Raw genomic sequence first — 20802 nt, 5'->3', positions numbered from 1 at the left:
CACTCCTTTTCTCAATCGCACACCAACCAGCCTTTCACACGCAACCCCTCATGCAAGCCACCCTCACCAGGCCCCTGTGACCCTTGCCAGACTCAGTGAGCATTTGCAGGTCACTGTCCTTCACCAGCAGCAGCAGCAGCAGCAGCACTGGACAGATGGAGCCAGCCACTGCTCCTCCCTGACCTGTGAGGGGTCCTCACTGGCTCAGGTTGCAGGACCCCACCAGGAGCTCTCAGGCATCCTCCCCCATTGCTGCCGCATCTTCCCTCTGCCCCTCTCATTGTGTCCCGGGACTTGCGGCGTCCCTGTGAGCTCACCCAGGTTCAGGGCTTTCAGTGTCATCTCTATGTGGTAAGAACTTGCAAAGTTCCATCTCCAGTACTTTCTGGAACTCCTGTGTCCACCTGCCAACTAGACATCTCCACTTGGATGACACTTCCTGCATGACACACCCAAGGCTGACTCCGGACCATTCTCTCCTTGCCTCCCCATTGCAGGACCTGGCAGCTCCATCTTTCCTCTTGCTCAGGCCAAATCTGTTGTCCTTAACTCCTCTTTGAGCCCTGCATCCTGGTCATGCACAACCCCTACTGGCTCCACCTTCAAAATTGATCCCTGATGCAAAGAGTTATCCCCTCTGCTGCTATCAGCCTGGCCCAAGTGACACAAGGCACCTGTTCAGTGACAAATTCTTGGGGTAACATTTTGAAAATTTCAGCACCCATGGCTTTACACCCATCCTTCCCCGTGGGTGTGGCTGCTCTCCAGCTCTCTCATCCTGCTCTCCCCAGGTGCCTCGGCTCCAGGGGGACAAGGTTTTCCCTGGGCTGCTGCCTTCCCTGCTCCCTTCCCAGTCCCCAGAAGGGTGCTGGCCTCAGAGGCCTCCAGAGTAGAGCCTTGCCCACCACAGCAGCTCCAGCTGGAGGAGGTTCCCCCTACTTCCTGCACCTCGACCCCTTAGAGCAGCAGAGGCAGAAGCAGAGGCCTGCTTTGGAAAATGACAGGTTTTTATTGCTATGTTTGCAGTGGCTTTTTAGCACAGTAAGAATGTCCCCGCAGGCCCACCACCCTCACGCAGCCCCAGCCCTCCAGCCTCTGTCCGGGTGTCAGGGAAGCCTTTCTTGGGGTCACTCAGCCGTCTCGGGACTGGACGTGACAGACATACGTGGGTTAAAGCCGCTACACAGAAGACTGGAGGTGCAGGAAGTGCATCCGCCTTGAGCCTGGATGTGGGAGCCGTGTCCGGGGTCCCTTCCTGGGGCTGTGCCCAGCCCAGGGCACAGGGTGGGAAGCCTGAGCAGGCCAGGTTAGCAGCCCAGACACCCAGGATGGAATATTGCAGCCTCTTGCCCCACAGACCTGTGGGCAAAGGGACAGCGTGGGGACAGCCCCGAGGCCCCCACCATGCACTTTTCCAATCCATTCTGGGTCTGGGGACCACACACACACATCCACACAACAGACTCGCACATGCAACAGCTCGAAGCTTTTGTTTTGCCTCTGAAAGTTAGATCTATAAATTCACACTCCTAGGCTAGGGGCAGAGGGGTAAGGTAGGGCTCACAGGAATGGGAGTGGTAAGGAGAGGATGGTTTGGGCTCCTTCCTCTTTTTAGAAATATACAAGCACAAATCTCATTCTCTCAAGTTTTTATAAAATGTGCAAAATACAAGCCTCCTTTGCCTAGAGGCACCATTTACATCTGGTATTCACCTTTGCTAAGAGATAGAGATCTATATATACTCTACGTGCTCACGCACGCGTGCACTCACACCCAAGCTCACACAATTGATATTGGTGGTGATTGGCGCAGGAATCAGAAGGTTCCACTGCTGGCTGGCTCTCTAAGCTTCTATAACAGGGATGGGGAGAGGGGTATAGCCCAGCTGAAATATTTGTCTTGGTTCTGCTGCCCCTCCCTTGCCTCCCTTCTCCTCTCTCTCCTCCCTCCCGTCTCTCCCTCCTTCCCTTCCTCACATTTCCCAAGCTGCCACTGCTGCTTCTGGGGTGAGGGGTCACCCAAGGGTGTGCTACAGAGCAGAGCCTGGAGAGGTGGGCAGGGGGTGGGCGTGGCAGGGGCAGGAGGAGTGCAGCACTGTGGGTGGGGGTGGGGCACTAGGCGGGGCCTAGGACCAGCTGGGCTAGGACTGGAGCGGGAGAGGCATCTATTTTTGGTGGGTTGTGATATTTTTGGCGTTTTATTAAAAATGGAAAAAGTTGTTTTAGTGAGCACTCATGGTGCTTTCTCCCCTCCTCTCCCAGGCAGACCCCAAAAGCGTCAGGGAAAGGCAGGCCCCCTGGAGGGGTGGGGTGGGGATGAAGCAGGGGCTGCTATGGCTACCAGAGGTGAGCTGGTGATGTGAGCTGAGCTGTCCCATGACACTCTCCACCACGACGACCTTGCTGCTCTCGGACACTGGGGTCAGGGTGGTCAGGCCCCTGACATCTGCATCCTGAGCTCGGTACTCCAAGTGGTGGAGGCCCCAGATGGGCTGGGTCAGGTGCTTCCAGCACTGCAGGAGAGGACATGTTGAAGCCCCCAGAGTCACCTGCTCATCCCCACGGTGACTTCCTCTGCCTCTCTCCAGCTCCTGCTGCCTGCCACCCTAGTCAGGGCCACTCCTTGGCTAGGAAGCAGGCTGGGTTGAATGTTCATAGCAGGGGAGGGGAGGGCAGGCCGGGAGGGAGCCTTACCTCAGCCATGGTGCCCTTGGCCCTGAGGAGGCAGCCCAGGAGGTGCAGTGGCATGCACAGCATGGAGGACAGCACGAAGGCCCAGCCCATGGCCTCACCCCACCACGGGTACACGTTGGTGTTGTTGTAGACCAGCGGCTCGTAGTACACAACGTTGAAGATGAAGATGCCCTACAGACCAGAATGCCGTGGTTAATGGGGCCCCCACCCCCCCCGCCCCCCCCACCCCGCCCCACCTCCCCCAGCCCTTACCATGCAAACCAGCGGGGTGAAGAAGGACCAGCACCATTTCATCCAGGGGCAAGGTCGGTACCCGATCATACAGGCAATGTCGTCCGTGAAGCGGTCAGCTCCTGTGGCAAGGCGAGGCGGGAGGGCCAAGCTGGAGACCTGCCTTCCCCACCACCATGCCCCAGCCCAGCCCTCAGCCATGACCTACCATACACCCAGGCCACCACCACGCACTCCCAAAAGGCCTGCCAGAGCAGGGTGGTGCCGCTGGCTGAGTAGTAGTCAAACAGCTGGAAGACATACATCCCACCCTGGGGGACAGAGCCCAGTCAGGGAGGATGGCAGACGGCCACCAGAAGTCACAGGCAGACCCCCCACCCCACTCACATCAGTCACCATGGAGAGATCAATGACAAAGCGGAGGGCACAACAGAGGGCCACAGAGATCTCCCTTTGGAAACAGAAGTAGTAGGAGGCTGGGAGGAGGTTGAGGAGGCCGGTGATGAAGCCCTCCACACCTACAAACTGTGGCCAGGCTAGCTCAGGCCGAGCCCCGCACCACCCTCCACCCCTTTCCTTGCCCGCAGCCCTCACTCCGCCCCTCTCCTGGCTCCCTGTCCCAGAGCCCCATGCAAATCTGGTTGTCGAGACCAAGCAGCAACAGCATGAAGAAGAACAGGGCAGCCCAGAGTGGGGCCACTGGCATCAGTGTGACAGCCTGTGGGTAGGCGATGAAGGCCAGGCCCGGCCCTGTGGGAAAGGTGCAGGCTCTAGACCTTGCAGCCGATGTCGTGCCCTGCGCTCACCCTGAGCCCTGCCTGCAACACTCACGCCCATGCCCACGCCTGCCTCTGAGGTGCTGTCAACCCTGGGTCATGCAGCAGGGGCTGGGAGGTCCTGTCTCTGTCAACATTGAAAAATCCCAGGACCTGCCCCCACAGGCCCACAATCTGAGAAGTTCTGTTTGAATCCTCATCACTTTTCAGCATTTCTATTGCGTGTTCTTGTACATCATGCATCTGGGTGGCAGTTGCTGCTCTGGAGGCGGGGCTGGGGGTAGGGCCCTACCTGACTCTGCCACCTTGGAGATGTGCATGCCCTGCTCTGCAGCCATGAAGCCCAGGATGGAGAAGACCACGAAGCCAGCAAAGAAGCTGGTCCCACTGTTGATGACAGCCAGGATGATGGCGTCCCGGAGGGGTGGAGGGGCCAGAGTGGATGGGTTAGGCTGCTGGGCAGGGCAGGGCGGGACAGGGCACGGGTGGCAGGGCAGCAGTGCTTACTTGTAGCAGTTGTTGTTGAAGCGGTTGTAGCTGCCCAGGGCTGTGAGGGCCCCCAGGCCAATGGCATAAGAAAAGAAAATCTGGGTCCCCACATCTATCCATACCTAGAGGAGGGCTGGAGAGTGCAGGCATGAGGGGCCTGCAGGGCTCCCCCACAACACCCTGCTGCAGCCTCCCCACCTCCACCTCACCTGAGGGGACCCCAGCTTTGACCAGTCAGGCTTGAGATAGTAAATGATGCTGTCCAGGGCGCCAGGCAGCAGCACTCCAAGCACAAGCAGCACGACCAGGACCACGTAGGGGAATGTAGCAGTGAAGTACACGATCTGGGGGGCCAGGCTGCTCAGCGGGGACTGCGGCACCACCTCCCTCACAAGCCCACTCCGAGCACCTCCGGTCCCCCTTGCGGGCAGGTATGTTCAGAGGTCCCCATTCTCCTCCGAGCCATAGCTCCCGCCAGAGGAAGCTAGGGGCAAGGCTGGGCCCCGGCAGCCCTGGCAAGTGCAGTGGGGAAGCTCTCTGGGCGCCTCGTTTGTCTGCAGGGATGCATGTCAGTGGGGAGCGGGCGAGCCTCTGGGAGCTCTCCTCAGTGGGGACAGGAGGCATGGAGCATGTGGGGAGTGAGAGCTGTGTGAGTGTGTGGGCAGTGCACGCATGGGAGGCCCAGGCAGGGAGCGGGATATTGGATCAGGGCCGGGCCCCCCTCCTCTTCTGGAGAGAGGTCGGGGCTGAGCAGGTGAAGAGTGGAACTGGGCCAGGCAGAGGCAGGCAAGATGCGGCTGCCACACTGTCTGCCCCCTCTTCCCACATGCTGCTCTGGGGACCTTGTCCCCCAGGGAGCTGGCCATGTCCCACAGCTCTGGACATTGTCTTCTTTGTTCAGGTGACTCCCCAGCCTGACCAGGAGCCCCCAAGGGATGTGGCCAGACTCTGCTCTGTGTCCCCAAGGCAAGATAGGCAGGTAACAGATGGCCAGACCAGGTCCAGCAGACTGTCACAAGAGTCAGAGACTGGCAGGAGGGCACCGGTGGGGGTGATGGGCACAGGGAAGGGACAGTGCCTGCTGGGGCCTCTCCCCACAGGAGCAAAGGCTGCTGGGCCCTGGATTTGCAGGGTGGGGAGTGTTGCTTGGCTTTCAGTACCTCCCCCTTCCTTAGGGCTAGACTCTGTCTGGTCACCTCCCGTTGCCACGGGTGTGCCTGGCACAGACATCCAGCTCCCAGGGCTGAGCCACCCTCCCCCCTGCATGCCTCTAGTGGTACCTTTCCCATGGATTTGACCCCCTTTCAGACACAGAAGTAGACCAGCACCCAGCAGGCCAGCAGACAAAGGGTCACCTCCCAGTTGAGGGCCCCTGGCACCTCCAGTCCCCCAGACAGCCTCAAGACTTTGTTCCTAGGGGAGGGAGGGAGGTCCCATGAGGCCTGTGCCAGCAGAGGATGGAGCCACAGGGTCCACCCCCAGGAGTCGTGGCTCCCTTCTCTCCCACAGCCCAGGGTTCAGTGGGCCCTCTTGTCCATCTGGGCTGGGCCTGGAGCCCACGAGCCCCTGGCCTTTGGGAGGCCACTCCCATCCCACCCCACATGCAGCCCCAGCTCCCCCATCAGGCGGGAGTGACCAGGACAGTGATAGGCTGCCGAACCCAGGAGCAAGGCTGACCTGGCGCAGCCCCTGGGGCTGGCCCCAGGACTCTCCGAGGGCAGACAAGGGCAGGCAGGGTCCAGGAGGGACTGCCAAGAAACACCCTGGTCCCCTCTCAGGGCCATTCCCCTGGAGCCAGGCAACATGAGGGAGACCTGGGGGATGGGATGGGCTTGGCCCAGAGGTGCTGGACTCACTCCCAGAACTCGATGACAGGGGACTGGCGGTCAGCAAGCTGGTCACAAGTGAGGTTGGCCAGGCTGGCACTGGCACAGTCTTCATGGTGGAAGATCTCCACACAGTCGGGAGTGTTCCAGGTGTGGCCACATGTGGCCCAGGGCAGCGTGGTGGTAAAGGACTTGACCAGGTAATAGAAGCCCCAGGCCAGCACCATGATGTAGTAGGTGTTGCAGTAGAAGACGATCACCATGGAGGCATAGCCCAGGCCTGGGGCCGGGAAGTCCTTGCCATGTAGATTCTTTCCTGGCCACCTCCCCTGCCACCCCTTTATCTCCCCACCCAGGCTGGCAGTGCTCCCACCGTCTGTCCTTCTGGAGCCTTGTTTGTGGTGCTCCTGACTCCCCTGGACTCCCCCTTGTGTGAGCCCCAACACTGGGCTGACTCCCCAGCCTCTCTCCTCTCCTCCAGCCGCCCCCTAGACCCAAGGCAGAGCGAGCCCCTCTCCTCCTGTCCCCATCTGACCAAGTGCTGTTGAGTCTCCAGCCTTACACACCTGGCCCCTTCTGTGGGTCCCACTGCCACCATGGCGGTTCCAGGAGGTCCAAGCCTCCACCTGGCCACCCAGTAGCTCCAGTCCTCAGCAGCTGGTGGTGGTGGTGGTGGGGAGGGGGGGAGTTTCTAGTAGCCTGAGGTAGTGTTGGAGACAGTTGCCCCCGTAGTGGGCAACCTCAGTACGTCGCTCCACCTGTCTGTGCCCCAGCGTCCTTGGGGACAGTAATAGTAGGACCTACCTAGAGAGCCAAGTGTGCTGGGCAGGTCCCATCCCCAGCCCGGCTATGCCTGGCCTGTCCTTGCCTTGTGGAGCTGCCTATGCCCCCTCTAGTCCCTGCTTCCCCAAGTTCACTGTGCGGCCTGAACATCTCCTCCAGGCTCCCCCCTCGAGACTGGGATGCCATCACGTGGCCCCAGGCCTGGTGCTCAGGACAGGAAAAGATTTCTCAAGTGGGAGCCAGCTGGGAAAAGGGGGCAGTCCCTGAGGCTGGCCAAGGGCTGCTCACCTTTGAACAAGGGACAGATGTTCCAGACATTGATGCTGCCGGCCTTCATGAACTGGCCCAGCGAGATCTCCAAGAAGAAAATGGGGATTCCTCCGACCAGGGCTATCAGGATGCAGGGAATAAGGAACACACCTGGGGGTGGAGGCACAGGGTGGACTCAGGGTGGCCCCCAGCCAGGCTGCCCAGGCCCAGCGGGCCAGCCCAGACTCCAAAGGCCCCATCACAACTTCCCACTGGGTGAGTCAGTGTAGGGGTGGCCACTGACTCGGGCCCCACGTAGGGTCTTGAGGGGCTGGGTTCAGTGTGTTGAAGAGGTGCTACAGTAGCCCCTGGGCCATTGAAGTCCTATTCCCTGGGTGGCAGAGAGGCACTAGGCCCACAGGGCTTCCACCCCCACGGTCACTTGGGGTGATGGCCATGGAGGACACGCACGCTCAGACACGCAGCCTGTCCCTAGTGCCGCAATTCCCTGTTTCAGGCAGCACAGTGAGGGCACGTGCGTGTGTGCATGTGCGCCAAGGCTGGGTGATCAGGCCTGAGGGGCTCATCCAAAGGCAGGGAGCGCGACTGTCCTGCACTTGGACGCTTGCCTGCAAGTGTGAGGTCCAAGGCAGAGGGCGGGTGGGTCACAGTCCCCTGCTGGTGGGATGGCCACGTGCAAGGACAGAGGGATACAGGTGCGGGAAGAGGGGCCAGGCCGGCCTTAGCAAGCCCAGGGAGTCAGGCTCTACAGGAGATAGGCAGGGCATGGCACAGGCCCTGGCCAGCAGGCTGGGGTGGGGGTGGCAAAAGGGCAGGGAGAGCTGGGTGCCACTACCCCCTTCTCCTCTCTGGGCCTCCTACCCTTGCCCTGGCTGGGCTCGCTCCACTACTCAGAGGCCGAGCTTGGCTGCAACTTGCCTGACTCCAGGTCCCAGCATCCTTCTCCTAACTTTGGGCAAAGGCCTTTGCTCTGGACCTCTGTTTCCCACCCATCACTGGGTCACTTCGGCTTCCAGAAACCCCAGTGCTGTTTTGTAGTCACAGGACACACGCGTGCCCATCGCTCTTGCTAAGCTGGGCCCGGGCAGGCGGGCGGGCATGGGACGTGCATGCAGTGTTTCCAGTGGCGGCGCCAGGCGGGCCAGGCCACAGGCTTCCCAAGCCTGGCTCAGGTACCCAGTGTTCCAGGCCCGGGCCAGAGGGGAGGAGCGGGAGGGCTGCGAGGGGAGGGGAGGGCAGGGAGAGGGACAGAGTGGCCCATTGTGTGTGTGTTCGTGTGTGTGCACACGTGGGGGGCCCACACAATGTGCCGCTTGTGTGCCCGACCCGCAGGGGCAGCCAGGGCTCCTTACTTCGAGGAGACCCCAAGGCGCAGGCCTGCTTTCCCACCTCGGCGGCCAATCGCTCCTTCCAGCCCAGGAGTCTGGGGGGCAGCCTCGCGGGCATCGCCGGCCCCCGCCCCTCACCCTGCCAGGCACATGACTGCGAGAGGGGTGGAGGCGGACGGCCCAGCCACCGAGCAGCAGCGGTGGACCAGGGGCGGCCCCGACCCCGCGTGCCCAGGGGCCAACCGCTGCCCGGACTTCACCCCTCCGCGGCGGCTCCGGGGGTTGGGGGTCGGGCGTCAGGGGCCGGCGGCCTGCTGGGGGAGGGGGCCGCGGGGGGCGGGGGAGCTCACCTCCGCCATTCTTGTAGCACAGGTAGGGGAAGCGCCACACGTTGCCCAGGCCCACGGTGAAGCCCACACACGACATGATGAAGTCCATCTGGCGCGTCCAGGTCTATCGCGCGCGGCGGCACGGCCAGGCCGCCGCCGGGTGTCCCCAGGCCCGCGGGGCCGTCGCCCTTGGCCCGGGCCCCGTCGGGCCCGGGCGCGATGAGGGGGCCCTTCTTCTGGTCGCCGGACACGCTACAGATGCCGTTCTCGGCGCTCTTCTTCGCCATGGCCCCTGCGGGCCTCACGGCCGGGCTGGGGTCGCGGCACCCTGCGGGGGGCTGCGGTCAGGCGCGGGGCACCGGCGGCACCGGGGAGGGCCCCGAGGGCGCGGGCCGGCCGGGGGCCGGGGGGCGGCCGGGCCGGGGGACGGGGCGGCGGGAGAGCGGCGGGGTGCGGGTCACAGGCGGCGCAGTCAGAAGCAGTCCACGAAGCACTTGAAAGTGAGCCTGAAGAATCTCCTGTGTGTCAGGGGCCCGGGGGCGCGCGGGCGTCGGCGGGGCCCGGCCAGGCGTCCGCGGCAGCGGTTCCGGAGGCTCTTGCCCGCGGCTCGGGCGGTGGCGGCTGCCACGGCTCCTCGGCCGACCCGAGGCTCAGCCTAGCGGGGCACGGGCGATATCGGCGCTCGCAGTCTGCAAGCGGCGGCTGGAGCAGGGGCCTGTGGCCCGCGCCCCCGGCCCCGGCCGGGGCCCGCGGCGGCTGCCCGGCTCACCCGAGACTCCGGTGGCGGCGGCGGCGGCTCAGGCGCGCCTCGCCCTCTCCTTCTGGGCGGCGGCGGCTGCAGCCGCTCTCGGGGCCGCGGCGGGCTCAGCGACTCGCCACCGCGTTCCGACTGTTCCTCTCTTCCCGGTTCCCGGCCGGCAGCCGCTTAAAAACCGACTCCGGGGTGATGTCACTATCGCCCCACCCCCACGGCTGGCCGGCCCCCCTCTCCCTCCCGCCCTGCTCGTCACAGTCCGCCCACCTTGTCCCTGCCCTCCTCCCGGGGAGGAGTCGCCGCTCCAGCGGGAGGCAGGATGGTTGCTACCTGGGGCGGCCGCCAGCTCCTCCCGCAGTGCTCCGGGCCGCCCCTCACCCCAGGGTCGCCCGCTCCTAGTGTGGCCCAGGCTTCCCGGCCTGCCCCTCCCAGCCCTAGGAAGACGTCCCCCGGGCCCCCTCAGCCCTCCGCCTCCCCTTCTCTCCCTTTCTCCCCGCTCCTGGCAGGCTGCAGCCGTCTCCTCCCGGTGCTCGCTCCTTCCTTGAGCTCTGTCCACCGCTGCCCACTGGGGGCTAGAGCTTCCCGGCTACCCTGGAAGCTGGAGGCTGGGACCAGCTCTTCAGGTGACAGGCCTCTGTGTCTCCACAGTGGCCAGAGGGGAGCCTGCCTGACTGATGAGCAAGGCTCCACTTTGTCACCAAGGCAGAGAAGGGGCCCGGGTAAATGACCCCGGTGGCCCCCACCCCTGCCTGGCATGAGAGTGGGTAGGGGCTTCGGACTTGAGGGGACTGGAGCGGGAATAAGGCAAGGCTGCCCCCTGGTGCCTGGCGGGTGCACAGACCCTTCCCCAAAGGCCTCAGGTCTGAGGTCCTGGCTGCCCGCCCCCCACCCACCCCGTGTTCCTCTCCCCAGGACCCCCAGGCCTACCCAGCAAGAGCCAGCTTGTTGGGCTGCCTCTCCGCCACCAGCTGAGCAGCTTGGTTAGAATTTTCTAGGGCAAGAGTAGCCTGGGGGTGGGGTGGGGAAGGAAGTGGTCATTCTCCTGGCCTGGGAGGTAAAGTGTGCCCCCCTCAACTTCAAGCTCCCTGATCTGATCGTGGACACTGCAGTCCCCAGATGGCTTATCCCGTTAAGCTAAGCCCTCGGCCATCCCTCCAGCTTTAGGAAGAAAAGCGGTTCTGGCCCAAGCCAGACTGAGCTTCCTGGGTGAGGGAGGGGCAGTGTCCCTACCCAGGCTTGGAGGAGGAGCCTCAAGGGGTGTGTGTGGTTGGGGGAGACAGGCGGTGTCACCTGTGCTTAGACCAGGGGCGGTGGGCGGGTACCCTTGAGGTGGCAAGGTCACACTGCTCATCAGAAGTTTCTCACTAGGGTCTTCTCTGGCCCAGCCTTTGACTGAAGCTGGTCTGGAGACAGGGGCGTTAGAGAAGTGACTCATAGATGGCCTAAATAAGCGGGGCCACTCAAGGACCCAGGACAGGGGGAAGAGGGCCAACCCATCTGGACCGCAGGCAAACCCCATGGCCTTTGAGAGAAGAGAGAAGAGGACCCGGTGAAGTAGGCTCCGAGGGCCTCAGCCCAGCAGGAGCGCAGGGTGGGCGCGTGATGTCATCGAAGGGAAGACAGTGACCTGGGGGAGGGCCGCTTTGAGGGAGAGTGCAGGCCACCGCCAGAGAGCTCTGGGAGCCGAGGGCAGGGAAGACTTTCAGATGTTGCTTGTCCAAGGGGTGGGGGTGGAAGGGAGAGAGAGCAGAGGCTCGAGAGGGATGTAGGAGAGCTGATGGCACTTTGGGGACAGCCTCAGGGCTGCAATTGAGGAGGGCTCTCTCCCTCATGCAGGCTTTTCCTCCAGGAGCTGCACCAGGAACTCACAGAGGATCAGGGAGAATTCTGAGAACATGCTACTGTGGTGCTGCCTAGAGAGGAAGGATAAATGATGACAAGTACATCTCTGAGTAACGTATGGGCACTTGTTCATGAAAACTGTTTTTCTGAAAGCTTGTGAAGGTCTTGAAATACTCGCTATCAGTTGAGGACAAACATTTACACCCTCCTTCCACAGGGAGTTCAAGCAGGCTGGATGGGTCCATCTATGGATGATCTTCCCCAGCCCCTTCCTCTTCCCAGCTCATCCCTGGCTCTCTGTGTGAACAGGTCTCATCAGTGGAATGTGGTTGATGAAGTGAGGTCTTCAATTTTCTCATCTACTGTGTGGTCATGTTATTTTCCTCATCTGAGGCTTAAAAACTCACCTGCATGCAGCACATGACAGCTTAAAATCTCTTGTGAACAAAACAGTAACAAAGACACCCACCAGCGTTGAGCATCCCGTGTTGATGACAGCGACCACCAGGGGTCAACGTCCTCTTCACAATCCTGTGTCAGAGCATCACTTGACTGATTTCATTAGCAACTTCCCAGGAGAATCAGCTTACAAAATACTTGTCCCATTTTCCATGCAGATGTAACCCATCTATTTTACTGAAGAAATGGGAAGAGCTGAATGCTGAATACACTGAATGTCTGCAGGTTGTGCAAGTTTGTGACTTTATCACTTTCTAATTTCTGATCTGTGTGGACCACTCTACAGATTTTTCTCACTGGTGTGATCAGCCTTCTGGATGTCAAATATAATAGACTTTCAATAATATAAAAGTCAACACAAGCTCCTCATGGTTTCAGTGCTCAGTGATGACTCTAAACTTACACAATGTGTTTCTTTATTAGTTTTGTTTTCTGGTATCTCTACTCGGCATCTTCACCACACCCATTTTATGTTTCTTATACAGGTAATTGATAATTTTAAAATTTATTGGTGCTTACTTTAATTAAATAAGCAGACAGTATCTTAGAATTTAAAAAAAATGTGCAGTAAAAGGAAATGCAATAAATTTTAATGTAAGGAAACCAGCAGCTGAAAGCAAGGGAAATCTCTTCTGCTGCATAGGAGGGTATGGAGACCTCATAATACGATGATTTTCTGCAGTTTAATCATTATTGCCACACAAGTGATAGCATCCTCTCTCTTTATATCAGCACATTCCCTAACGTACAATAAAGGCTGAGCACAGATACCGCCAACCAGACTGACCAGCACCTCTCACCGAGTGCCTGAGCTGATAGTGATAGATATCACATTTGTCTAACAAAATCATTACACCCTGTAAGGATACCCACCAGTCATAAGGAGACAATTTAAAAAATTTAGTCAAAGCCCAAACCTGATAGGTAGTCATTTATACTTAGAAGAATTAACTCTTATCTTCACATGTATTTTTCTTAATCATAGAGAAGCTACTAGAGTCACTGTCCAAGTTACTGAATATCTTATTCCTAGAATGAGACACTGCACAATGTGTTCTGACACGAGGGGATGTAGATATAGTTAAGGGACAGGAGATGTGATCACGGGAACAAGAGTCTGTGATCCAGCAGTTCTTTCTCCCTCACAGTTGACCAGAAACAAGGCCCCAGCAGAACAATGGAAACATTGACTTAGGTCTCCACAGTCTGATGTGAGATAAACAGCAGGTAGTTTATGCTTCCGTTTTATAGTAGGAAATTTAATAAAGAAGGGCCATTTTGGGGATAATACTATTCTCTAGGATGCTTAAATGCCCCCAAACAGAGAGCACTACAGTGTCCCATGGCCAGGAGCTACAATACCTGGGTCTAGAAAGCAGTGGACAGAAATATCGGTTTCTCTTGCCACATGTATGATGAAAATTTGAAGAATGTTTCTTTCCTTCTCCATAATCATAGGCTGCGATGGACTGGAGGTCCTGGTACATAAGAATAAATGTGTCTCCAGTAGGAACAGAATTAGTCCCATAAAATAATTGTGCTGCCGTGGTTCTCATACTGTTGGAACAGCTGACCAAGAAAGTGTTGTAACAGCTGCAGTGTTTATTGATTCCTATCATATTTGGGGCTACATTCGCAGCTACCAAGGGAAAGAGAGAGAAGTAATTCTGGCCTAGATAGAGTCTATAGATTTTTTTTTTCTTTCCTTCAAACTGAGGTTTAAAAAAATCACATCAACTAAAATGCAGATGATGATCAAATGATCAAGGACAACAGCCATTAAATGTTTCAGGTGTGTTTTAACCCAAAGTCGCACAACATGTGAGAACATGAGCTCTGGAGTCGGGAGAATCTCTGAAGAGAATCTAGAAGGTGGGTGGGAGGAAACAGTGATTCACGTCTAAGGAAATTGCAGGGCTACCTCCTGTAGGGGAAAGGAAAGCCTGAGCCTCTCCTACAGTGTGCTGTCTAAAAATTTTTGGCTGACTTACTGTATTCTTCAACACCAAATTTTTTTAGTTCTCTTTTAAATTTTTTTATCTCTTAAAATTCTCACAGTGTTCTTGCATGCTGCCACTAGCTTATTAAACAAGATTGTAATATTTAAATTTTCTGCCAAGAAATCCATATGCTTTTATATTCATTGATGTCAGTTTCTGGACCTTTATGTTGTCCCTCTGTTTGGACCATATTTCCCCATTTCTTCATTTTCCTTGATGGTCTTTGCTGCCATCTACTCATCAAAAAAAACAGCTCTTTGTTCATCATAACAAAGAGCCATACTCTTCCAAGCCTAGGCCCTTAGAGAAAACCCTCACCAATCACCCCATCAGTGATTGTGGATCTCTCAAAAACTTCATAATAACTTCATAATATTCAAACTTCTGTCTTTGTTCTTAGTGGCCCCCAGGTTTTAGAGCATGTTGGGTTGTGGCAGGACTCCTAAGTAGGGGAGGTAGAAACTATTTACTCAAGCAGCCTCTTGAACAGGTACACCATTCAATACAGTTTTATTATTGAGGTATGATTCATCAGAATAATGTCAGTTCAAGCGCCTCTCAACCAGTTGTCTAGCATTGAAATGTTAGAATTTATTATTTGGATCTGTCTGTCATTTATCTTTTGAATCTTAGGTAAAATTACAAACTGGTATAAAACTGCCTATTTGGCAAATGATCTGCTGCAGAATTTTCATCTTCTATGTATCTCTGTTTGCACTTAAATCCAAGTTTATATTAGGCATGTATCTAGAATGTAGAAATAAATCTTAAAATTCCTTCATTTTTCAAAAGATTATGGGGTTTCCAGAAGATGGGAGAACCTTCTTTATTTATAAAATACCTGATTCCACATTTTCCAATAGTTTCCTCTTTATCAATCTCCTCTCACATTATACTATATTAAGCAAGGAGAAATTAAAACACACCATCCACACTTTGCATAGAAATCCCCTCAATCCCCTCAGCTTTTTTTTTTTTTGACGGAGTTTCACTGTTGTTACCTGGGCCTTGGCCTCCCAAATTGCTGGGATTACAGGCATGAGCCACTGCATTGGGAAGCTTGAACTGGGCAGAGCCCACCTCAGGTCAGCAAGGCCTACTCTCTCTACAGACTCCAGCTCTGTGGGCAGGTCATAGCTGAACAAAAGGCAGCAGAAACTTCTGCAGACTTAAACGTCCCTGTCCAACAACTCTGAACAGAGCAGTGGTTCTGCCAGCATGGCATTTGAGCTCTGAAAATGGACAGACTGCCTCCTCAAGTGGGTCTCTGACCCCCGTGTAGCCTAACTGGGAAACACCTCCCAGTAGGGGCCAACAGACACCTCATACAGGTGGGTGCCCCTCTGGGACAAAGCTCCCAGAGGAAGGATCAGGCAACAATATTTGCTGTTCTGCAATATTTGCTGTTCTGCAGCCTCTGCTGGTGATACCCAGGCAAACAGGGTCTGGAGTGGACCTCCAGCAAACTCCAACAGACCTGCAGCTGAGGGACCTGACTGTTAGAAGGAAAATGAACAAATACAAAGGAATAGCATGGCCAGGCACAGTGGCTCATGCCTGTAATCCCAGCACTTTGGGAGGCCGAGGCGGGTGGATCACAAGGTCAGGAGATTGAGACCATCCTGGCTAACACAGTGAAACCCCATCTCTACTAAAAATACAAAAAACAATTAGCCGGGCGTGGTGGCGGGTGCCTGTAGTCCCAGCTACTCGGGAGGCTGAGGCAGGAGAATGGCGTGAACCCAGGAAGCGGAGCTTGCAGTGAGCCGAGATCGCGCCACTGCACTCCAGCCTGGGCAAGAGCAAGACTCTGTCTCAAAAAAAAAAAAAAAAAAAAGAAAGGAATAGCATCAACATCAACAAAAAGGGCATCCATACCAAAACCCCATCTGTAGGTCACCATCATCAAAGACAAAGCTTAGATAAAACCACAAAGATGGGGAGAAACCAGAGCAGAAATGCTGAAAATTCTAAAAAACAGAGCATCTCTTCTCCTCCAAAGGATCACAGCTCCTCACCAGCAACAGAACAAAGCTGGATGGGAATGACTTTGACGAGTTGATAGAAGTAGGCTTCAGAAGGTCAGTAATAACAAATTTCTCCAAGCTAAAGGAGCATGTTCTAATCCATCACGAGCAAGCTAAAACCTTGAAAAAAGGTTAGATGAATGGCTAACTATAATAAACAGTGTAGAGAAGACTTTAAATGACCTGAGGGAGCTGAAAACTATGGCACAATAATTTTGTGATGCATGCATGAGCTTCAACAGCTGATTTGATCAAGTGGAAGAAAGGATATCAGTGATTGAAGATCAAATTAATGAAATAAAAATAGAAGACAAGTTTAGACAAAAAAAGAGTAAGAAGAACAAACAAAGCCTCCAAGGAATATGGGACTATGTGAAAAGAAAAATCTAAGTTTGATTGGTATACCTGAAAGTGATAGGGAGAATGGAACCAAGTTGGAAAACACTCTTCATGATAGTATCCAGGAGAACCTCTGCAACCTAGCAAGGAAAGTAAACATTCAAATTCCGGAAATACAGAGAACACCACAAAGATACTCGCTGAGAAGAGCAACCCTAAGACACATAATTGTCAGATTCACCAAGGTTGAAATGAAGGAGAAAGTTTTAAGGGCAACCAGAGTTGTGCCATGGCACAGTGTTGTGCCAGGTCCTTTCTCTGTTTTCTTGCCTGTTTATTTATGTCAGATGTGCCACCTACATGTAATAAGGTCAGAATTCTGCCTCCAGTAACACATCAAAGGTGACCTTTGATTGTACTTTTGGTTTATGCTCCAAAATATTGATTATAAATTTCATCACCGTCATATTTTATGTCAAAATAAATCTGCATAATCTGAATGTCAATACATTTTGGAATCTACTAAATAACTGAAATTGCAAGAAATATTACCCACTCCAAAAACTGGAGAGATGGGCATGTCCAGAATTGCAGTTAGCACTTGCTTAACTGGTGCAGAAACTGCAGGAGCTGCAGAAGCCACAAGCTGTTGAAGGCACTTATATGGTAACCACTATAGACGTCTGAAAGACAAATGTGGACTCGGTAAATGTGACCATTCCAGAGGGTCTTATACTTCTAAGGTTTCTGGACTTTCTCTCCAGAAACCTCCAGATTCTAAAATATACAATCCAAATAAATTTCCTGTGGGTCAGAATTGAAGATGAAATGAAGATGATTAATTACAGAAAACTATACCAGGAGCCTACTTCAAAAGCTTCTAAAGGGAATGACTTTTCCAGAACCTTATCCTATGTGAAGGAAGACAAATCTCCCATTCCAGATTCTCTCCCATTCTTCCATTATTATATGAATGAGTAAAGTTAGCCAAAAGGGGTAAGATGTACGTAAATAGTCCAGGGAGGCCAAAACCACAAAAGGGAGTAACAGCCAAAAATGAGCTTTTCCCCTGGAGATGCTTTTTCAAGGTCACAGCCCAGAAGAGGAAGCCTATCGAATCTCTAGGTTTCCATTGGAAGAACAGGCAGTGCTTACCTGCACTGCACAATCCATTCTAACTAGGATGATGACTATGGATTAAAGATGAAAGTGTGGCAATGCACAGACTCTATCTGAGGAGAATACAGAAACACTAAGACAATGACAGAGGGTGAGACAAAGGCAGTACAGCAATGTGAAGCCTCTGACATCATGATTTTTAAGACCAACATCTTGTAAATGCCATCATAGATCTCAGCTTCTTTTATTATGGGGACTTTGCTGGTTTCCTAGCTGAGAAAGTGAAAATAACAACCTGCATGCACTTCCCAAGTCTCCACCTGTATCCTGTTTGCTTTAAATCTCTAGGAGAAGAAAGTCAGATAACTGGGCCTAGTGTCAGCATAGGAGGCACTTCCTAAAAGCTACATATTAGGAAGAAGGGAAAATGTGTGTTATTGGAATAGTGGATATGGAGTGGGCTTTCATCTGAATGTATCTGCACCTGCTGGTATTCTCAGATGCAACATTCAACTGCAAGAGCCCAGTGAAGAAACACGGCACTCCCAAATCTCCTGTAAGTTTTTGTCTTCATTTTGGTTCCACTAATGAAGTGAATCTGGAGCTTCAGAGAAGGGGCTCCTTTCTGTGTCATTGAATCCTTGCTCTGGGTCTCCTTGCAGAGTTCAATAGGTTTAGTAAGGCTAATCAGTTGTTTCAAGAGATCGTGTCAGTAGCATATGGTGTCACTGAAGGAGTGTGATAAACCAGGACACAGCCATTTCATGCTGGGCTAGAGAAGCTTGGGGGAAATGATTTGTAAGTCCCAGCAGGAACCTCTTTGCAAGGCAGGGTCTGGGCTGTTGGGGGCACAGACCAGGTGAGTTAGATATCAATATGTAAAGATGAGGACCTATGGATATTAATTGAAAATACATAAATACTTCAAAAAATTCCAATAAATTGAGTCCAAAATTAACCCGAAATTATTCAAAACACAAATTCCTTGACAAATATTTTGGGAGCAATGAGTTCATAAAGAATTTGAAACTACCGTTTCAGCTTCTGATTCTTATTGTTCCTGAGATGAGAAAATCATCTCTAATCACACATCACAGAGCAAATCTGTAAACAAGAGTGTTTCTATTGAAGATCCGGGGGGATCTGAACACCAGGCAGGTGCTGGAGACACTGTTTCAGGAGTGCCCAGCAGATCTCAGAAGGACCTGCTGGTCACTCACGTGGGACATGAGCAGTAACTTCCTCAGTCATCAGTCAGCTGTGCTGGTGACTGATGGATCCAGGACAGAACCACGGCACCTGCTCAGTGTCATGGAGAGTGATGGTTCCAGAAATTATCCAGGTGGTCTCTGTGCTTATAAAATGTAGGTTCACAGTGAGGAGCGTGTCCTGAGGGGGATTGTTCTTCTGTGAAAGGACCTCTGTTCATGAATGTTCATAAATGGAGCAGGGCATGCATTTCCTCAAACAGGAATAGGGCTTGGACCATCAGCATCTCACTCTTGTAAATCTGATGTGTCATTTATCTTCCCTTTCTTATTATTAACCAGGCTTTCTTCTATGAAATGCTATGTCATGAATATGCAAATAACCTGAGATCCACTGAGGTAAATTTGGATGTCTGTGCCCTGAGAGCATCACCCAACAACCACATCCCTCCTCTATAGAAGCCCCTGAGAACACAGCTCCTCACCATGGACTGTACCTGGGGGATCCACTTCTTGGTGGCAGCTGCCACAGGTAAGGGGCTCCCAAGTACCAGTGATGAGGAGGGGATTGAGTTCAGTCAAGGGGGCTTTTATCAACTCCTCCATTCTCCTCACAGGTGTCCATTCCCAGGTTCAGCTGTTGCAGCCTGGGGCTGAGGTGAAGAAGCCTGGGTCCTCAGTGAAGGTCTCCTGCCAGGCTTCCAGATACACCTTCACCAAATACTTTACACGGTGGGTGTGACAAAGCCCTGGACAAGGGCATAGTGGATGGGATGAATCAACCCTTACAATGATAACACACACTATGCACAGACGTTCTGGGGCAGAGTCACCATTACCAGTGACAGGTCCATGAGCACAGCCTACATGGAGCTGAGCAACCTGAGATCTGAAGACATGGTCATGTATTACTGTGTGAGAGACACAGTGCAAAAACCCACATCCTGAGAGTGTCAGAAACCCCAGGAAGGAGACACCTGTGCTGACACAGAGGAGATGACAAAGATTATTAGATTAAAGATTTGCTTAGAAAATGACATTAAGTCATTAAAGAAAAGGAACAATATTAATGTGTATTTGAGAAATTTTAATTATTTGAGAGATTTTTCATACAACATTTATTCTGTAAACAAATTTCAATGATTAGAGAATTAATCAAATTAATGAAACTAATATAGAACTTCCTCTGAAGGTATCTCTGTAAACATTAATTTCTTAATCAGTGCTGTAAGTATTTTGGAATACAGACACAAAATCACATTTTAAGTCTGCATTTATATCTATTAAAAATGCCAAAAAAATCTCCTTTTGTGCGTGTAGCATTTTGAATTCCCACCATCAATGCATGATAGTTCTTGGTTTTCCACATTCATATTGCCATGTATCCTTATGAGAGTTGTGTGTTTTAACCAATCTAGTAGGTGAGTAATGGGATCTAATTTTTATTTAAATGCACATGTCCCTCAAAAAGTTCATATTTAACAATTTTCCAATAACTTTTGTTGAGATGCCTCTCCTGATATTTGGTTCATTTTAAATGCATTGCTTTGTTTTGATTCATTGTAAGTTTACTTGCATATTGTTTATAAAAGTCATTTAACAAATTAAAAGAATTCATTTAACAAATATGTGACTTGGAAGTATTTTTTCCAAGTCTGTGGCTGTCTTTACTCCCTTATCAGTGTGTATTGCAGAAACATACGTGTGTGTGTGCATGTGTCTGTGTGTGTATGTGTGTGTTTGTACAAATTTAGATTCAAAAACATGTAAAATTGTATTCATTCATAGATGATGTTTTGACATTATATCTGAAGTCTCATTATAGAATACCAAATAGTGGTTATTTTTTCTATGTGTCTAACCTCAGGCCACAATCAACTTATGAGTGTTTAAACTTCACCTACTTGATTGGAGGACTATTCACCTCAGATATTTGGAATACTTCTGTAAGGAGATGTGTTCGTCTTCCCAATATTTATTTTCATAATCATCTATTAATATGTGTATTGGTTTATGAATATATATTTCATACTCTGAAGAAGATCCATGCTATATTACTCATTTTATCGTTCAAATCACCACAGCTTTATTAGGTCCTGGGAGCTCATTTAGTTTGGATCCTGTATCCTTACAGTGCACCTCATCCTTTTGTTTTTGAACACTTCCCTGTTTCCTTGTATTACAACAAATTCTAAGTTCATTTTCTATATTACCTCTTTTGTACATAGAATTAGCCATTTTTCTAAAGCTTGCTTGTTTCTAACGTTAACGAATAGCAGTAAAATAAAAAAAAATTGTGATACCGTGTATAATTACTTCTAGGACCTC

The 20802-nt window shown here is 52.7% G+C and overlaps 1 long non-coding RNA gene and 1 pseudogene across 11 annotated transcripts; one reads left to right on the top strand and one right to left on the bottom strand.

The window, feature by feature from the left end:
• Positions 1-860: 860 nt before the first annotated feature.
• LOC102724223 (sodium- and chloride-dependent creatine transporter 1-like) lies at positions 861-9054 on the bottom strand (annotated as a pseudogene).
• A 102-nt stretch (positions 9055-9156) lies between these two features.
• LOC105369183 (uncharacterized) lies at positions 9157-20100 on the top strand. Of its 11 annotated transcripts, none has more exons than XR_002957915.2 (6): positions 9157-10199; positions 10849-11071; positions 11330-11437; positions 11540-12266; positions 18817-19006; positions 19092-19987. It is a non-coding gene; the product is annotated as an uncharacterized LOC105369183 (long non-coding RNA). The 11 variants fall into 11 exon arrangements; XR_951033.4 differs by adding an exon at positions 10562-10686 and having other exon boundaries at positions 10111-10199; positions 11330-12266; XR_001752123.3 differs by lacking the exon at positions 9157-10199 and having other exon boundaries at positions 10693-11071; positions 11330-11420; positions 11632-12266.
• The last annotated feature ends 702 nt before the right edge of the window (positions 20101-20802 follow it).

The sequence above is a fragment of the Homo sapiens genome, chromosome 16 (assembly GCF_000001405.40).
Source record: "Homo sapiens chromosome 16, GRCh38.p14 Primary Assembly".
In the NCBI taxonomy this organism is placed as follows: domain Eukaryota; kingdom Metazoa; phylum Chordata; class Mammalia; order Primates; family Hominidae; genus Homo; species Homo sapiens.
The sequence above is the reverse complement of the archived record's forward strand: the minus strand, read 5'-3'. Positions and strand labels throughout refer to the sequence as shown.